We start from the raw sequence: 20,161 nt of genomic DNA, 5'->3' as shown, positions 1-20,161 counted from the left end.
TGAAGTGAGATTCTGAAGGAGGAGCTTGAGGAAGGCACTGTGGGAAGCTCTTGCCATGTAAGGTTTGTCTTAGAATCCTCTGTAGGTTTGCACGCAAGCATCTGGTGGTGGGATTCATGTGCCCAGGGAGCTTACTTCCCAGGAAGGTGCTGATGCATACAGCTGAGCATGTGTCTCTGGGCAGAGTCAGGCAAATTACACCTTAGTGTCTCAGCGTTTGTCTTTTTTTTTTTTTTTTTTTCTCGAGATGCAGTCTCGCTGTGTTGCAAGGCTGGAGTGCAATGGCGCGATCTTGGCTCACTGCAATCTCTGCCTCCCAGGTTAAAGCGATTCTCCTGCTCGGTCGCCCAAGTAGCTGGGACTACAGGCATTCGCCACCACACCCAGCTAATTTTTGTATTTTTAGTAGAGATGGAGTTTCACCATATTGACCAGGATGGTCTCGATCTCTTGACCTTGTGATCTGCCTGCCTGGGCCTCCTCCCAAAGTCCTGGGATTACAGGCGTGAGCCACTGCGCCTGGCCTCTATGAAGTTTTAAAAAACCTTAAAAAGAGTGCCTGGCCATGGGACGTGGTGAGGGAGGGGCATCCCCGTAAGGCTGGAACCTACCCTTAGGCCTGCGTAGCACTGCAGTCATCTTGCTGCTGAGCGCCTTTTCACGTGCTCCTTAAATTTGTGGGTTCTTCCGCCCTCCCTTTTGAGAACAGCGTTGGGAAGTATCTCATAGCCAAGATTGGAGGATTTTTAAAGAACTCTCCTCTCAGATCTCCCTTAAATTTCCAAATCCCTCCTCCTCCCCAGGAGAGCGTCTTGGTCTGACACCTCTCCTCCTCTGGACACCCTGGGGGCACCCTCATGGGCAGGGGTCCTCAGGTCAACATGGGACATTGGGGGCACCTCTGCCAGCTCAGCTGGCCATCAGAACAAAATGAACAGGCTGGCCGACTTCGTTTTGTTCTTGCTGGATGGTCTCCAGCTTGGATGGTGGCTGGCAGGCCTGCCCCTGCAGCTGCTCAGGCCCCTTGGGGGGAGGCCTGCCATCTGCCTGGTGACACCCCAGGGGTGGGGCTTGAGAAATCCAGATGCCTCTAAGGGGAGACAGGAAAACCCGATTCACGCCAGGCACGCAGCACACTGTGGACGTGTTATTTTGACAAGTGAGCATCAGGCTTAGCATTTAATCGTGATTCACTCCAAGCCAGTGAAGGGGGCCGTGCTGCGGGAACCCTGCCGCTGCGCTCATCACCAGGACCTTGGCTCCCATCCTACCAGAGGATGGCAGTCCAGAGGGACATTGGATGTTTGTCCGGCAGTCAGTCCACGGGGCCCCGGGGGGCTGGATGTAACCTTCCGTAAGTGGCAGTTCTGAGAAAACAAAGCTGCCAACCGCCATCAGAAGCGGGTTGTGCCCATGATAGTCCTGGCCTCTGAACTACGCTTGACCCGTCACCTGCTAAGAGCAGGCATGGTGCAGATATTGTCACCTCTCCACCCTCCCAAGAGGTTGTTCAAGAGTGTCAGCGCAGAGGTTCGCTCTGGCAGGCCCCACTGAGGAGGGGCGTCCACGGGGCCCTGGGCTGGGATGAGGCCGTACTTTGACCATTTTTCCTCAGTCCCCATCCCAGGCTGCTGGCACAGGGCAGGCAGGGCAGAGCTCACATGGAGGCCCTTGTTTCTTTACAATTTCATTTTAATCATCTCCAGCTCATACAGGAATGCATTTTCCTAAGAAGCTCATCACCTCATCCTGTAAGCTCCTCCCTTCCTGTTGGCCTGTCCCTGCTGCCTGCACCGTTACGGACTTCCCACCAAGCCCCATCTTTTGACGTGGCTGGTATGTCCGTGTGCGCCCTTGGAAGCAGTGTTGTTTTGTATTGTGCGTGCCTCTCAGACATGATGTCATTTATTGCACTGTTGCTCGGGAGCCTGTTTGTTGTGTCCAGCACAGGTCTCAGCGAGCTAGCCCCGTGTTCATTTCCATGGGTGTGGCTTTCGTGGTATCCCAGGGACCCTCTGCAGGGAGGTGGGGAAGTACCAGGTGGCCCATCGCATGCACCTGCAGGGGCTGTCCGGGGTGGGTTCCAAGAAAGGCCTGCTGGACTTTGGGTTTCTGCCGTGTTTGATTTTACTATCATTGTCTTCATCTTGAAGGTGCAGTGTTAGGCAGGGATTAGGTGGCACTGGCCTGGCTGGAGTGGCTGTGCCCACTGGGAGGGTGCCCTGCCACCACGCTATGGGCTGCCCTCCTCTCTCTCATTTCCCACAGGCCAGCTCCTGTTGCTCCAGCAAGCCCAAGAAGTGGGGCCTCATTGGGATCTAGGCAGGGGGTTCCTGACAAATTCCAAATGATGATGGCAGAGGTGGTGCCAGGAGAATGGGGTGTATGGAGGTTGGAAACAGTGATTTTAGAAAACGAGCAAAAGAGCATGCCACACTTACTGCCTGAATGCCAGTGTTTCAAAAGCAGGAACAAATGCTGGTGAAGCAGCTCATGGGGGACCGGCCTCTCAGCGGAGATATTTGGTGGTTGCCTGTGAATTTCAACTTTCCTGGACTTCAGCTATATCATAGCGTGCCACCACGAGGGCTGATGTGGTACAGCACCTCTTTTTACACGTGAGCTGCTTGCAGCAAGGGGGATCCGGTGGGGTCAGGTGTATACGGGACACCCAGCCACGCTCCCAGTTCTGTTGATCTGAAACTCGTCTGACTGGGTGTCCTGTGGTTTTGTTTGCTGAGTCTGGCCACCCAGGTGCAGACCAACCAACCCCTTGTCTTTATCCAGGAAGATGTTGAGGCCAAGAGAGATAGGACGACCATGGGCCTCATGCTGCCCAGGAATAGCCCCGATTACCCTGGCCCCCAGCTCCATGCAGCCTGCATGGCCAGGTGAGAGGAGGTGCCTGCTGTGCTTGTGGGTGGTGTGTGGTGTGTGTGTGTGTGATGTGTTTGTGTCTGTAATGTGTTTGTATCTGTGTGGTCTGTGTGTAGTATGTGTGTGGCATGTGAATTATGTGTGTGAATGTGTGTGCGGTTTGTGTAGTGTGTGTCTAGCACATGTGCATGTGTGTGTGGTGTGTGGTGTCGTGGTGCCTGGGGCATGTGTGCAGTCCGATGCCTGTCCTTACCTGTGGGGACCCACATTACCTTAGCCACACTGCTCTGAGGGGGCAAGGTTCAACATGGGACGGTGTTGCAGTGTGGGACAGCTTTGCAAGCTCTTGCAGCTTGGAACAGCTTTGCAATTTAGACCTGCTCGGCCACCTCAGGTGTGACCAGAGTGAGTCCCTCACCTCTCTGACTCTTTCTGATCACCTGTAAAATGCAAATTGACAGGGCTATCTCGCAGGTTGTGGGATGGTGGCCCTGGTGTGTGTGAGGGCTGGGTAAATGGCGAGACAAGCTCCATGCTGTGGCAGGAAGCAACTGGCACTGAAGGAGGGGAGCTTGACCCAAGCAGCTGCACCCAGACCCTGCCCCGAAGGGGACTGCTGCTCTGCTGCTTTACGGGGAGGCCAGCCTCCCATTGAAAGTCTGACTAGGCCTGACCCTGCTTAGCTTCCGAGACTGGACCAGATCTGGTGTGTTCAGTGTGGGACGGCCATAGATGAGCTAAGCCACCGAATGCAGGTGTTTGTCCACCACATTCGAGGAACAGTTAAGTTTTAATTTTGCATTTCTGGATTTATAAATGTCAAGGGTGACTTCAGAGAATGAAAAATTCTCCTGCAATAGCTGAATAGCCTTCTGATGTGCTATTGTGGTGTAAGGGTTTCTTTCTGCAGTTTTTATTAATAGGCATAAATGACTTTGTCCTATGAGTACTTATATGCCCTAGGAGAAAAAAAGGCAAATTATCCTTCCTTTCCCTGGCTGTTTGTGTTCAAGTGTGTTTCTACTGAAACCATGCAGACTGGCCGAGACCCACCCAGCTTTGGCTGTCTACACATATGCAGCCAGGGACCCCAGCCCAGGGTGGAAGCATCTTGAGGGCCCCCAGTGGCAGTTGTGTCAGAAAGGGACATTATAAGTAGCATAACTTTGTAAAATAGTTAAGGTTGGTTCGGGCTTGAGAGGGAAAATATCAGACACTGCAGTAGTGCTAAGTTTGCAAATAGGCTGTGACAGGTGGAAAACACACCTAAGTGGGCCTAGCCTTTTTTTCCCTTCAATGTCTTTATTTGATAAATAGAGGAGGAATTAGCCAGTGATGGACTTAGGCCAACGTTTTGGATTGGCATTTTGGGTGGGCTCAGTGTGTGCTGGGCAGGATGATTGGCACTCCCAAGCTGGCCCATTGCTGCGAGGGTGTCTCCATGGTCTCAGGGATGGCCAGGGGGCAGCTCAGTGTGCAGGGAGGGCCTCAGCAAGGTCTTGGGAAGGTGTGTGCAGAGCCCCTCTGAATCTCGTGGATTCCGCTTTGGTGCTGAGGGCTTGTGCTCAGGCACCCCTGTCCCTGAAGGAATCAGTGGCTCATTAGTTTCCTGGAGCTCTCGGGGCAGAGCAGCCAGGGTCGCTGATGAGGGTGACAAGCAATGGGAGGAGGCTTTGTGGCTTGTGGAAATGGAAGGGAGCCCGGTGAGCGTGCAAGTTTTCTCATGGGGAGCTCACACCCAAGGATAGGGGTGTGTTGGTGGGGTGGGGGTGGCCAGCCTTTTGTCAGTTCCACACCATCACACGGCCATCTGTCCTCCTCCTCTGGAGCTCTTTTTCACCTGTCCTCCTCCTTCCATCCCGGTGGCTCCTAACTGGGCTTTCTCGCCGTCTACCTGCTTCTCTGTGTCCCAGCCTGGGTCATTTCTTCAGATCTCTTTTCCAGTTCACCAGTTCTCTGAAGATGGTGGAACTATCAAGCAAAAGTGTTCAATTTGCTGTTTAAATTGTTCATTGAGTTTTAAATTTTAAAGTCACTTTTCATTCTTAGAGATTCTTTTTTCTTGTTTTTTTGTTGTTGTTGTATGTTTGTTTATTTTGTTTTGTTTTTTGAGACAAGAGTCCTGCTCTTGTCACCCAGACTGGAGTGCAATGGTGTGATCTCGGCTCATTGCAACCTCCACCTCCCAGGTTCAAGCAATTCTTCCATCTCAGCCTCCTGAGTAGCTGGGATTACAGGTGCACGCCACCACGCCCGGTTCATTTTTTGTATTTTAGTAGAGACAGGGTTTTACTGTGTTGACCAGGCTGGTCTTGAACTCCTGAGCTCAGGCAATCTACCTGCCTTGGCTTCCCAAAGTGCTGGAATTACAGACCTGAGCCACCCTGCCCAGCCTCCTGGAGGTTTTTATCAACTTTGATCATTTTTTTCTAGTGTGTGTGAATGTTCAGTTCCCTGTTTTGAATGTTTTCTTTTTTTCTCTCTCAGCAAGCTCATGGTTATGCTTGGGTCCTAGCTGGGTGGATGTCTGTGCCACCTGGGACCCTGGGTGTATGAGAAATGCCAGAAGCATCTTTTTAGATTCTTTGGACACACTCTTGGGGGCAGATTGCCAGGAGTGAGGTTATTTGGTCAAAGGATTGTAGTCAAGTTTTGTGGTTCATTCATTGTGATGTTGCCCCTCAAAGGGTCGCTTAGGTGTGTTCTAGCCTCTGGGCAGTCTGGTGAGGCCAGCATGAAGAATGGAACCTTCTAGCTCTTCCAGAGCCTGAGGCTGGGAGCCCTACCCAGGGGTCTCAGGGTGCACCAGGGCAGAAGTGAGTGCTGTGAAGCAAGGAAACCGCTGAGTTGCTTGGACTGGGGCGGGGGCGGGGAGGGGGGTGCAGAGGTGGGGGCTGAGAAATGGAGTGGATGTCCAGGTCTGCCCTTTCCTCTCAGGGCCCCAGGGCTGCAGAGGTGGCTGGGCTGGATGATCACGTTCATGCCATGAATCTCGTGCATTCCATGTTGGTGCCGAGGGCTGGGTTCTGCCTCAGTAGGCCATGTGGACAGGAGGAACAAAGGCCAACCTTGCTTTCTGTGATCCCAGTCTGAGAAAAGGTCCCAGGGTCAGAGGCACTCTGATGGCCCAGGAGAGGCCAGTGGCTGCACACCGCCCCCCGACCCCGACTCAGCTGTGAGTGTCTACGGCAGGGAAGGCTGGCGTTTCCAGCGACAGAGTGCAGGGCGTTGACAAGCAATGGACACGGTCTGTGTTGTTGTGGTTATTTTTGAGAAGCTCATGGGTTTCCCAAAGTACTGCTGGCTCTGGACTCCCACAGGCCACACTGCTGGGGTCACCGTTCCCCTCTGGGCCAGCCCTCGCCTCGGTACCCACTGTTGTTGATCTCTGCCGCTAGCCTCTCCCTGCTTAAGTCCAGTTGTGGAACATTTCACCCACAGTGCAGACCTCATGGGGCCTGGGATACCCTCATCACCTGCAGATTCAAGGGGGATGTGACCTCAACTTGCTGTCAGGACTTGTTGGGCGCTACCCTACATCACTGCCAGAGCCACCTCAAGGTGCACATTCACCTTCCTTTGCCTGGTAGCACCCCTCACCTGCGCAGCTAACCTGCCTGGGGAAGCCTCATTCATCTGTCAGGACCAGCCCCAGCATGGCCTCCCCCCAGAGGCATTCCTGTCTCCCATGGCATGCCCATAGGGTGCTGTGTGCCCTGATACAGTGCATTCACCTTAAATGCTCACCTTCAGTCTGAGCCCCGGGGGCTGGCTCTGCTTGGCCACCTCTGGATCCCCCAGCCTGAAGCCTTGTTCTGGCCCCAGCAGCCTATGGCTGGAGTCAGGAGTGGGCAGTCTGTGTTCACTGGCCTCTCCTGGACTGTCACAGTGAACATCTCTGCTGAGTTGGGCAGAGTCCCAGTTTTTAACCCTGGAAACAGATGGGGAAGCGCAGGGAGGCACAGAGGGGATTCCAAGAAGGGGACGCTCCTCCGAGATGGGAAAGAGAGGTTGGCATGTGGTAGGGAAGGGGCCTGTGGGGCTGATGTCTGGGCAGGGGTGGCACAGTGCAGGTGCCAAGGACCAAGTGGGTGAGTTGGCTCTCCAATTCTGGGTGCCAAGGAGTCTTGGAGGAGGAATGGGCTCTGGCAGGGGCAGGAGGCCTTGCTGTTAAATTTAGCGAGACTTCTTTACATTCGTAGAGGATTCTGAGATTCCATAGCAGCATGGATCATGATCTCCTTACCCAATAAACAGAATTTCTTATATTCTAGTCCTCCTCCATTTGCATGCTCATTCTTATTTTAAGTAGCACCTGAGAGAGAATCATTGAATTCTGAGCCTTTAGCATTTCGTTCATGAGATTTTCCATCTGGGTAGTTCCCCACTTTATGTCTTAGCATTTCCACCCATGTCCACTGATGACCCCCCATTTCCCCCAGATCTTTAAGAAGCTTGTAGATATACACACAGAACTTCTTCTATGTGATTTATTTTTAATAGACTTAATTTTTAGAACAATTTTAGATTTACAGTAAGACTAAGTGAAAAGATCGAGTTCCCACATAACTCCTCCCCCCATTTCCCCATTCATAACATCTTGCATGAATGCAGTGTATTTATTGTGATTGATGAGCCACTTTCGATAGTCATTGACAAAGTCTGTAATTTACACTAGGATTTACTCCTTGTATTGTATGTTTATTTTACTTTATACATTTTTTGAAACAGGGTCTCACTCTGTTGCGCTGCCTGGAGTGCAGTGGTGTGATTATAGCTCACTGTCACCTCTAACTGCTGGACTCAAGCAATCCTCTCACCTCGGTCTCCAAAAATGCTGGGATTACAGGCATGAGCCGGGGCAACTGGGCTTTTACGGGTTTTTTACTGTAATGTCGAACCATTAGAATGTCATATCCATCATTGCAATGGATCCACCATTGCAATGTAATACGGAATAGTTTCATCTAAAGTCCTCTGTGCTCTGCCAGTTCATCCCTCCCCCTACTCCCAACCTCTTACAACCACTGATCTTTTTGCTGTCTCCATAGCTTTGCCTTTTGCAGAATGTCATGGAGTTGAAATTACACAGTATGTAGACTTTTCAGATGGGCTTCTTTCACTTAGTCATATGCATTTAAGATTCTTCATGTCTTTTCATGACCTGATAGTTCTTTTTAGCACTGAGTAGTATTTCATTGTCTGGATGTACCACAGTTTATTTATCCATTCACCTACTGAAGGGCATCTTGGTTGCTTCCAAGTTTTGGCAATTATGAATAAAGCTGCCATAAACATCCTTGTGCAGGTTTTTCCGTGTAGACACGTTTTCAGCTCTTTTGGGTGCATACCAAGGAGTGTGGTGATTGTTGGATCATTTGGTAAGAGTATGTTTAAGTTTCTGGGTTTTTGTTTGTTTGTTTGTTTTTGAGACAGGGTCTGGCTCTGTCACCCAGGCAGTAGTGCAGTGGCATGATCTCAGCTCACTGCAGCCTCCACCTCCTGGGCTCAAGCCATCTTCCCACCTCAGCCTCCTAAGTAAGTAGCTGGGACTACAAGCTCATGCCACCATGCTCAGCTAATTTTTTTATTGTTTGTAGAGGTGGGGTTTTACCATGTTGCCCAGGCTGGTCTTGGGCTTGAACCCCTGAGCTCAAGCAATCCACCTGCCTCAGCTTCGCAAAGTGCTGGGATTACAGGCTGGGCGCCACCATGCCCAGCCTGTTTAGTTTTATAAGAAATCATCAAACTGTCTTCCATAGTAGCTGTACCATTTTGCATCCCCACCAGGAATAAATGAGAGTTCCTGTTCTTCTACATCGTTGCCAGCATTTGGTGGTGTCTGTGTTCTGGATTTTGGCCTTACATAATAGGTGTGTAATGGGAGCTCATTGTTGTTTTAATCTGCATTTCCCTGATGAGCTGTAATGTGGAACATCTTTTCATGTACTTATTTGCTATTCGTGTATCTTCTTTAGTGAGATGTTTGTTTATTTGGCCCTATTTGTGATTGGGTTGTTTTCTTGTTGAGTTCTTTGCATACTTTGGATAACAGTCCTTTAACAGAACATATTTTGAAAATATTGTCTCCCAGTCTGTGGCTTGTCTTTTTTATCCTCTTAACAGTGTGTTTTGCACAGCAGAAATTTTCAATTTTAATGAAGTCCAGCTTACCAATTTTTTCTTTCATGGATTGTGTGTTTGGTGTTGCATGTAAAAGTTCATTATCAAACCCAAGGCCATCTAGATTTTCTCCTGTAATCTTCTAGGAGATTCATGATTTTGCATTTTACATTTAGGTCTATGATTTAAAAGTTATTTTTTGTGAAATGAGTAAGATCTGTGTTGATTCATTTTCTCTTTTTTTGGCATTTGGATGTCTAACTGTTAGAGCACCATTTGTTGATAAGACTATCTTGTCTCCATTGTATTGCTTTTGTTCCTTTTTCTAAGGTTGGTTGACTGTATTTGTGTGGGCCTGTTTCTGGCTCTGTATTCTGTCCCATTAATCTGTCCCATTAAAGTCTATTTTTTTTAAATTATACTTTAAGTTTTAGGGTACATGTGCACAATGTGCAGGTTAGTTACATATGTATACATGGGGGGAGGGGGGAGGGATAGCATTAGGAGATATACCTAATGTTAAAGTCTATTGTTTCACCAGCACCATACTGTCTTGATTACTGTACCTTTATAGGAGGCCTCAAAGTCATGTAGTGTCAGTCCTCTGACTTTATTTTTCTCTTTCACTGTTGTGTTGGCTATTATGAGTCCTTTCCTTCTCCATGTAAAATTCAGAATCAATTTGTCAGTATCCAAAAAATAACTTGGTAGGTTATTTTTGTTGTTGGTGTTGTTTTTTGTTTTTTTGAGACAGGGTTTCTCTCTGTCGTCCAGGCTGGAGTGCAGTGGTGTGACCTGGCTTACTGCAACCTTTACCTCCTGGGCTCAAGTGATCCTCCCACTTCAGCCTCCCCAGTAGCTGGGACTACAGGCATGCACCAACATGCCTGGCAATTTTTTTTTTTCTTTTTGGTAGGGAGAGGGTTTCACCATGTTGTCCAGGCTGATCTAGAACTCCTGAACTCAAGTGATCTTCCCACCTTGGCCTCTCAAAGTGCTGGCATTACAAGTGTGAGCCACTCTGCCTGGCCTGGGATTTTGATTAGGATTGTGTTAAATTTATAGATGAAATTGAGAAGAACTGGCATCCTGGCAATACTGAGTCTGCCTATCCATGAACATGGAATATCTCTCCATTTATTTAGTTCTTTGACTTCTTTCATTAGGGTTTTCTGGTTTCCCTCATAAAGATCTACATATTTTGTTACATTTAGATCTAATTATTTCATTTGCAATGTAAATGATACCATGTTTTTAATTTCAAATTCCAAGTATTCATTTCTGGTAAATAAGAAAGCAGTTGACTTTTGTATATCAACCTTGTATTCCTGCATCCTTGCTATATAATTGCTTATTAATCAGACCATAGAAGCATGTAATGTAGAGAGAGAAAGAGATGAGAGAGAGAGGCAGAGAGAGAGAGAGAGAAGAAAGAAGGAAAGAAAGGAAAGGAAGAAGGGAAGGAAGGAAGATGGATTATTAGTTCAGGAGTTCTTTACTTGTCTTGTGTTACCTTATTGTATTAGCTAGGACTTCCAGGACAGTGTTGGAAAGCAGTGGTGAGAGGGACATCCTTGCCTTTTTCCTGATTTCAGTGGGAAAGCTTCAAGTAACCCTGTAATCCTAGCTACTAAGGAGGCTGAGGTGAGAGGATTGCTTGAGCCCAGGAGTTTGAGGTTGCAGTGGGCTATGATTGTGCCACTATACTCTAGCCTGGGCAATAGATTGAGACACTGTCTCATAATAATGATGATGATAATAATAATTCTTATTTGTATACATTGTTGGCTTTGATTTGCTGGTTTTGGGGGGGCTTTTTGTGTGAGAAATACTAATGTGTTTTTTTTTTTCTTGTGATGTGTTTGGTTTTGGTATTAGGGTAATGCTGGCCTATGCTTCTGTCATCTGAAAGAGACAGAAAGTTGATACACTTTATCCCTTTAATGTTGGTGGAATTCATCAGTGGGTTCTATCTGAGCCTGCTGCTGTTTTGGAAGGTGATTATTTATTCAGTTTCTTTAATAGATACAGACCTATTAAGATTTCTGTTTCTTCATGTGTGAGTTTTGACAGAGCATATCTTTTGAGGAATTGGTCTGTTTCATCTAAGTTACTGAATTTGTGGGCATAGAGTTGTTTTATCCTGTTACTTTTAGTTTGTCTGTGTCTTTATATTTTAAGTGGGTTTCTGTTAGACACCACAGTTGAACCTTGAGTTGGACCTTGTTTTTTTTTTTTTAATCCACTCTAACAGTGTCTGCTTTTTAGTTGTTATATTTAGGACCATTGATATTTAAAGTGGTTATTTGTGTAGGTGGATTAATATATACCATATTTGTTAACTGTTCTGTTAATTGCCCCTGTTATTTGTTTTGTTTTTTGCTTTTTGTCTTCTCTTTTTTATGCCTTCTCTGGTTTTACTTGAGCATTTTATATGATCTCATTTTTTCTCCTTTCAGCATATCAATAATGCTTTCTTAAAAACCTTTTTTCAATGGTTGTTTTTAAATATGCAGTATAGGTTTATGACTAATCCAAGTCCTCTTTCAAATAATATAGCACTCTATGGGTAGAGCAAGAAACAGTATTTCTAATTGTTCCCTCCCATGCCTTAGAATATTATTGTTATTCACTTATTCATAAACTCTAGTCATGAAGTACATTGTTGCTATTATTATTGTGAACAAACTTGTCTGCTAGATCAAGAATAAGAAAAAAGTTTTTATTTTATCCTCACTTGTTACTTCCCTAATACTCTTTTTTTTTCTTTCTGCAGATTCTAGTTTCTGACCTATATCATTTTCCTTTTCTCTGAAGTTCTTTTAATATTTCTTGCAAGGCAGATTTACTGGTGACAGATTTTCTGAATTGTTTTTTGTCTGATAAAGACTATTTCTCCTTCACTTCTGGAGGATAATTTTGCTGGATACAGAATTCTAGGTTGGTGGGTTGGTTTTTTCTTTCAACACTTTAAATGTTTTACTGCACACTCTTCTTGCTTGCATGACGTCTGAGGAGTTCAGTGCAATTCTGTCCTTCTCTGTGGATAAGGTGTTTTTAGCCCATTCCCTGACTTTTTTCTTTTTTTTCTTTTCTTTTTTTTTTTTTTTTTTTGAGAGAGTCTTCTCTGTCACCCAATGTAGAGTGCAGTGGCGCGATCTTAGCTCACTGCAATGTCTGCCTCCTGGGTTCAGGCAATTCTGCCTTAGCCTCCCAAGTAGCTGGGATTACAGGCAAGTGCCACAACGGCCAGCTAATTCTTGTATTTTTTGTAGAGACAGGATTTCACCATGTTGGCCAGGCTGGTCTTGAACTCCTGACCTCGTGATCTGCCTGCGTTGGCCTCCCAATGTGCTGGGATTACAGGCATGAGCCACCGTGCCTGTGACCTCCCTGACTTTTTTTTAATATATTCTTTTTGTGTTTGATTTTTTGTGTGTGGTTTGGATGTGGTATGTCTAAGTGTAGATTTTTTTTGGGGGGGGCTTATATGCTGCTTGGTATTTTTTGAACTTCCTGGATCTGTGGTTTGCTTCCTGTTATTAATTTTTGAAAATTCTCAGCTGATATTATTTCAGTTATATTCTCTGTTCCTTCCTGTTTTTCTTCTCCTTCTGGTATTCCTATTACATGTTATTACACCTTTTGTAATTAACCCATAGTTCTTGAATATTGTTTTGTCACTGTTCCTTTTTGTCTTTAAGTTTCAGTTTGGGAAGTTTCTATTGGCATATCTTCAGGCTCTCTGATTCTTTCCTTGGCCGTGCCCAGTCTATTGACGAGCCCATCAAAGGCATTCTTCAGTTCTATTACAGTGTTTTTGATTTCTAGCAATTCCTTTTGATTCTTTCTTAGTGTCTCAATCTCTCAGCTTACATCGGCTATGTATTTTTGCAGGCTATTTTCTTTATTAGAGACTTTAGCATATTAATAATAAATTCCTGTTCTGATCATTGCACCATCCCTGCCATCTCTGGGTCTGATTCTCATGTTTGCTTTGTCTTTTCAGACTGTGTGGTTTTTTTTTTTTTTTTTGCTTTTATTATACTTTATAATGTTCTTTTAGTATAAAAGTTGGAAAACAAGAAGACTGTTCTCTCGTACACTACCATCCAGAGGAGGTCACCTGGAATATCTGTATACACTTGCATCCCTGCTTCCTATTTGGATAAATGTGATTTCTGGGGCCTCTTTTGTTTTAGTCCCTGGGACTACATTTCCCTGGGATGGTCTTAGAGAAGACTTCTCCCTGTGTATTGGGTCTCCTGCAGCAGTGCCAGGCAGTGATTGTTGAAGGATTGAAAGTGCTGTGGCAAGCTCAGTCTCCATTCCTGGCTTTCCTGTCCTTGTTTCACAGATCAGAAGATTGGGCAGGATGGGTTTCTGTTCAGTCTTCTTTTGGATACTGTGACAGCCTCAAGTTCTTGCCTGCTTCTAGCAATTTTCTCTGGAGGTTCTGTACATATCATCCCTTTTTTTGACTTGCCTTCTACCCAGATTTATTTTTCAGAGTCAGAAGAGTATTCTTGGCTGGGCGTGGTGGCTCACACCTGTAATCACAGCACTTTGGGAAGCTGAGGTGGGTGGATCACCTGAGGTCAGGAGTTTGAGACCAGCCTGACTGACATGGTGAAACCCCATCTCTACTAAAAATACAAAATTAGCTGGGCGTGGTGGTGCGTGCCTGTAATCCCAGCTACTCAGGAGGCTGAGGGAGGAGAATCACTTGAATCCGGTAGGTGGAGGTTGCAATGAGCCGAGATTGTGCCATTGCACTCCAGCCTGGGCAACAAGAGCAAAATTCTGTCTCAAAAAAAAAAAAGTATTCTTTTTAAAGTCAGGTATAAAATTTTAAACTACAGTAACTCTTATTTGAATCAAAGCAGTTTGTGGGATTAAAAATACTCCTTTTATTTTTTAATATAGGGTCTTGCTCTGTCACCCAGGATGGAGTGCAGTGGTGTGGTCATAGCTTAATGTAGCTTTGAACACCTGGGCTCAAGTAATCCTCCCACCTCAGCCTCCAGAGTAGCTAGGACTGCAGGCGTATGCTACCATGCCTGGCTGTTTTTTGTTTTTATTTTTTGAAGAGATGGAGTCTTGCATTGTTGCCCAGGCTGATCCTGAACTCCTGGACTCAAGCCGTCTTCCAGCCTCAGCTTCCCAAAGTGCTGGGATTATACGTATGAGTGGCTGTGCCTCACCAGGATTAAAAATATTCTTTACAGTTCTTGATGGGTAGCAATATATATACATAGGAAAATATTCAGTAGTCAAAAATTTGTCTCCAGTGAGAAGCCTCTGTCCCTGCCGAGCACAGCCACCAAATTGTGGCCTCTCCAGAGATGGCCACTGGAATCGGGGACCTATGTGTCTCTTCAGAACATTCTGATTACAGACGGGACATGTTTATGGATTTCCTTCAGTCTTCGACACACACAAAAAGATGTGTCTCTATACTCTTCTGCAACTTGTGCTCTTTGCTGAACAATATACATCCTGGAAATTGTTCCAAATCAGCAAATACAGGATTTGTCCTTGTTGGCACGCCAGAATATTCCTCTCAGTCTCCCAAGAATGGACACTTAGCTTGACTTGAATCTATTGGCTGCTGTAGTGAATACACATCACCTACATATCTGTGGGGAGAGGACGTGTAACAGGTGTCTGTGTCTAAAATACCAACAGCTCCTACCCAAGAAGTTTTTACTAATGTGTGTTTTTGCCAAGAATATGAGAAAATGCCTGTTGGTCTATATCAGCAGGAACATGTGAGGCATGCCCCAGACTTTTGACCTTCGCCAGCCGGATAGGTGAGAAATCTTATTGCAGTTGTAGGTTCTGTTTCTTACTACAAGTGACATTGCACAGCTTCTCATGTGGTAAAAAGCAGTTTGTGTGGCCTTTTATATAAACTGTTCACTTAAAGTTAAATCACTAGTCAGACAGATACATTTTCATCTTGTGATTTGGAAAATGAATTTTCATATTGTTTACTACATCCTTCACATGCATTTCAGAAGTAGTTGGAGGTTTCCCTTAGGTAGGTACGACTCATTTGCAAGCAAGCATTTATTTTGGGTCTTGATGTTTTTCAGAACAATGGGCAGCTATGGTATTGTCCTGAATTGTTTTGATGTTTGTACCTACAACGTTGGCTGCAGCAGACTCTTGCAGGGCCCCGGGAGGGGTGTCCCCCACCCACCAGTGTCTCTGTGGGCTTGTGAGGAGGGCCAGTTCTCCTCTGAGGCCCATGCCATAGCCATCCCTGACATGCTCTTGTTTGCTCACAGATGGGGGACTTTAATTGCACCCTTCACGTGGAATGATGGTGCTGATAGGAGCTCCAGGGCTTCCCCACTTCCTCTATAAGCAGGCACAGCTGGTGCCAGGCCCTTAGGCTTCCTGATTATAGAAATTCAGCTGTCTGGGGCTATTGAGATGTGCCTGGCAAAGCACTTTGCCTGAGAGCTGAGTAACCAGGGCTCGTGAAGGATAAGTGACTTACCTCCACAGTTCAGGTGGCTCTGATCCATACATGATTCCCATCGCTCAGGCTTGGCGTTTTCTTTGAGCAAATATAATCTAGAAATGTAGAAGAAGTGAATTCCCAGAGAAGCGAGTCAAAGCTAGCACCTCAGCACAGACTTCGTGGCCGCATGCAAAGACGCCTGCAGGAAGGCAGCTCTGGGACTTGAGCCACACATTTGGGCTGCTCCTCTAGATGGGATTCTGTGGCCCCTGTAACAGAAGTTATAGCCCTGATGGGTCATGGAGAACCCTGGGTAATTAGTGACAGGGCACTTAGGGTTGGCCAAGGGCCCTAAACAGGCTGTGCTGCAGTGGCACCCAGGCCTGGCTTGTCTTTAGGAACAGATTCTGACTCAGTAGGTGCCGGTGGGGATTGAGGTTCTGATTTTCTTTTCTTTTTTTTTTCCTTGAGACAGGGTCTCACCCTATCTCCCAGACTGGAGTGCAGTAGAGCAATCATAGTTACTGCAGCCTTGAACACCTAGGCTTAAGCAAGGAACTCCTCGAACCTCCTGCCTCAGCCTCCTGAGTAGCTGGGATTACAGGCATGTGCTACCATTCCTGGCTAATTTTTGTACTTTTTATAGAGACAGAGTCTTACTGTGTTGCCCAGGCTGGCTTCAAACTCCTAGGCTCAAATACCAAGGATACCACCTTAGCATCCCAAAGCACTAAGATTACAGGCATGAGCCACCACACCTGGCCCACATTTTCAGACCAGAAGTCTGTATGGGTTGTCAGCTCCTGGGCTGGTCCCTCTCCTCCTGACTGCTGGGTGGACCTGGTGCTTTTGCCTCTACACATCCCTTTCTTGCTGTTTCATTCTCACGAGTTCCTGTGGAGTAGGTGGTGCATTGTCCCCTTTCTGGATGAAGGAAGGCACTGAGTTACCTGCCCCGAGGCCGCTGAGGGGAGAGGCACATGGTGTCAGGGCTTGCCCTCTACCTCAGAGCATGGCCACATCCCTCTAGAGTGAGTGACATTGGCTTACAGGCTCATTACCCACTTGTTTTGTGGATTGTGACAAATCGAGAAGTAAAAGCAGCACAGGCTCTTTAAGCAGCACCGGGTGGACCTCACTTCCTCTCGCAGCAGCAGGGCATTTTCCAGATTCCTGGAGCAGTGTCCCCGGGGCAGACATGGAGGGTGGTGAGGCTCCCCTCCTTCCTACTGGCCTGGCTTCATTTCTCCCTTGGCTTCTATATCCCAGTGACTTCTGTTTCCCCTCTGGCTTTTGTTCCCAGCTAACTTCTGTTCCCTCTGGCTCCCCCTCCTGCTGAAGAGAAGCATAGAGAAGGTACAAATGAAGGCATCATGGCTAGGGAGGAAGAAACTTTGGGTGACGTGGGGGCACAGCCCAGCCGGACAGAGGCTGCCCAGCCCCTCCAACCTCTCTTTAAAGACAGGAAGGGGCTGAGCTGGGGTCCATTCAGCTCATGGTCTTGGAGGAGTGGACATGGCACACTTGGGAAGAGAGAAGAGATGCCAGCATTCTTTCCAAGCAGATTCTCTGTTTTCTGTGGAGTTTTGTGCTTTCTCAGCTACTCCCCGCCAGAAATGAAAGCTAGGGTCATGGTCCATCAGCCCAGCAGAAAAAAGTGATGATGGTGAGGATGATGATGGTAATGATAGTGATGGTGATGGTAATGATGATGGTGGTGATGGTGATAGTGATGATGATGGCGATGATGACAGCCGATAATGGTGATGGTGATGATGGTGATAGTTATGATTGTAGTGGTGATGGTGATAGTGATGATGGTGATGGTGATGATGGTGATACAAATGGTTATGGTGATGATGGTGATAGAAATGGCGATGGTGATGATGGCGATGATAGTAATGATGGTGATGATGGCGATTATGATGGTGATAGTGATTGATGGTAATGGTGATGATAGTGATGATGGTGGTGGCAGTGATGGTGATGACGATGGTGGCAGTGATGGTGATGACGATGGTGATGGTGATGATAACTATGACAAGCAGTGAACTATCCTTACAGGCACGAGCTATGTGCCAGGCACAGTAGTAGGCATGGTACATACAAACCCTCCAGTATTTTAGTCGTTGATCTTCTACTGGATATGATGATCCACTCTCTGCAGAGAAGGAGTCTGAGACTCACTGAAGTTGTGTACGTCTTGTAGTCACACAGTTGTTGGTGGCAATCACAGCCCAGGGTTTGTGCGTGCATTGGGTGTCACAGGCTTCAGGTGATGCCCCATGTGCTGTGCTGGGAGGCCTTTTTTGCCATCCTGTTAGCCCCTTAACACTTGACCTCTTCCCCTCTCTCCACAGGTTCCTTGTGAGACACCTGGGGGACTCCAAACAGCCGGAATCCATCTGCCCACTGGTCCGGAGACAGGGATCCTCCGCCTCCTTCCAGGGTTGATGGCTCAGGAGGCCTTCTCTGCAGGGGACCAGGACACAGGAAAGCCAGGAAGAGATGAGCTGGGAAGGGAGCTGTTGGGGGCCATTCTGGTTTTAAAAATAAAGCAGGACTTTCGTTGCTTGTTATAAAAGGAACACATGCTCATTTTCTGTGATTTAGGAAAGCGCAGAAAAGTAAAAGGGAAAGAAGAACGTAGCCGCTGCCTAGCACCAGGGAAAAAAGGGCTGTAGTTTTTAGTGTCTGCCTAGACTGTAAAGTTCTAAACTCTAAAACTTGTACAACCCATTGTTTAATGGTTGTGTAATACTCCATCACATGAGCACATCATGCCCTGGTTACCTGACCCTTACTGGCTAGAGATGTGTGGTGTTCCTAATTTTTGCTATTTTAAATAACCATGGGAGGAACCACATTAACATGAATCTTTGGGTGCATTTGTGCTTTTTGCCTTAAAATAGATTTGTCGATGTGGAATTACTGGCCTGAAGGGTGCAAATCTTTTTAAAGCTTTTGATACATACTGCTGGGGTTTAGCAACACCTTCCCAAGTTAGTCTCCTGACTAGAAGGGAAAGAGTGCCTGCCCTGCAGCCCCACCTGCATTGTGAATTTGTATTATTAAAAGATAAGCCTTGCCAGAGGGACATTTCTAGCTTGAATGTGTGCCTGACACCGATGTGAGCTCCGACAGTGTGCCTTGAACCCTGTGCCAGATGCTGCAGAGGGCTGCAAAGTAAGGCGAAGGCTCTGCCTGTCTGCCTCACCTCTGGTAATGAAAGAGGCCACTTCCTTTTTTGTTATTTCTCCTATAATTTTTTTTTTTTTGAGATGGAGTTTCACTCTTGTCACCCAGGCTGGAATGCAATGGCTCAATCTCAACTCACTGCAATCTCTGCCTCCTGGGTTGAAGTGATCTCTCCTGCCTCGGCCTCCCAGGTAGCTGGGATTACAGGCACGTGCCACCACACCTGGCTGATTTTGTATTTTTAATAGAGATGGGGTTTCGCCATGTTGGCCAGGCTGGTCTCGAACTCCTGACTTCAGGTGATCAGCCCACCTCGGCCTCTCAAAGTGCTGGGATTACGGGTGTGAGCCACCGCACCCAGCCAATTTTTTTTTTTAATGTCAAAATCAGGTTCAAAAATTATGGTTTACATTAAACAGATGTTCTTAACAACAATAGAAGAAACCAGGAATGCAATCCAGTTGTGATCAGGAGATCATTTCTAGACTTGCCCTGGTCTGGAGGGTGGCATGGTCGGAGGGTTTCTGAGCCAGGGCCAAGTGTCAGTCATCCCTGGCTGGGCTTCTGTGCTGGACCCTCCAGACCCTCTGAAGGCAGCACCTAGCCCACTCAAAGGTCCCATGGGGGGCAGTGCCCTGTGGCCCGCAGCAGGGCTACAGCTCCATGAGCAGGGCTGTCACTGGCATGCTTGGGCTCAGAGTTCCATGTCACCCATGAGAAAGTCACTGTGTCCTGTCTGCAGAGCAGGGATCCCTGTGGGAAGAGCTCAGGAGAGCCACTTCCCCTCTGGGGCTGCCCTTGCCTGAGGATCTTAGGCAGCCAGACCAGCACCTGGGAGGCAGTGCAGGTTTGGCGGGGAGCGGGCTGACTTCCTAGACAGCAGACAGGCTTCTTAGAGATCCTCAGAGACAATTGTGGGGCCTCTGGAAGTGTGAATTCTACATTCCCCACCCCTGACCGCTTTCGGTTTTCTTTTTCTTGGCCATTTTCTTTGGTGTCTGTATTAGTTAGGGTTCTCTAGAGAGACAGAACAAATAGAAGATATATATATGAGTTTATTAAGTATTAAATCACATGATCATAAAGTCCCACAATAGGCCATCTGCCAGCTGAGATGCAAGGAAAGCCACCCACAGCCCTCAAGCATGTGGACATCTGGGAATTGGCCACTCTACATTAGTAAGGAGGTGAGGTTGGTTTTGTGTTAATGGGAAGTGTGTGCCTGTTTTTGTCTCTGAAATAAGAACTCATCCACTAACATGGCCTTGGGATGCCGTAACAGGTTTGGTGTTAGCTAGTCTTCTTCAGATTCTCAGTGTCTTATGCTCCTAGCTTTAGTGCAAGGAAAATGTTTTCCATTTTTCTGTAGCTATTATTCGCTTATTTTTTCATTTTGCCAATTTTCCAAGTAATTTCTTAGGGGGCATTAAGAGAGTCTTAATTCTGGTACAATAAAATACATGCCCAGTGTCAGCAAACAACCTCTCCTGT

The 20,161-nt window shown here is 46.9% G+C and overlaps 1 long non-coding RNA gene and 1 pseudogene across 1 annotated transcript in view; one reads left to right on the top strand and one right to left on the bottom strand.

The window, feature by feature from the left end:
* The window catches only part of LOC107984132 (uncharacterized), a 44,250-nt gene extending 26,190 nt beyond the window's left edge, over positions 1-18,060 (top strand). Inside the window, exons 4-5 of the long non-coding RNA NR_146902.1 lie at positions 2,788-2,891; positions 17,833-18,060. This is a non-coding gene — a long non-coding RNA (uncharacterized LOC107984132). The remainder of the gene's footprint in view (positions 1-2,787; positions 2,892-17,832) is intronic.
* On the bottom strand, positions 3,513-3,607 carry RNA5SP24 (RNA, 5S ribosomal pseudogene 24; annotated as a pseudogene).
* Positions 18,061-20,161: the final 2,101 nt, after the last annotated feature.

The sequence above is a fragment of the Homo sapiens genome, chromosome 13 (assembly GCF_000001405.40).
Source record: "Homo sapiens chromosome 13, GRCh38.p14 Primary Assembly".
NCBI lineage: Eukaryota > Metazoa > Chordata > Mammalia > Primates > Hominidae > Homo > Homo sapiens.
This window is presented reverse-complemented; position numbering and strand designations above follow the sequence as displayed.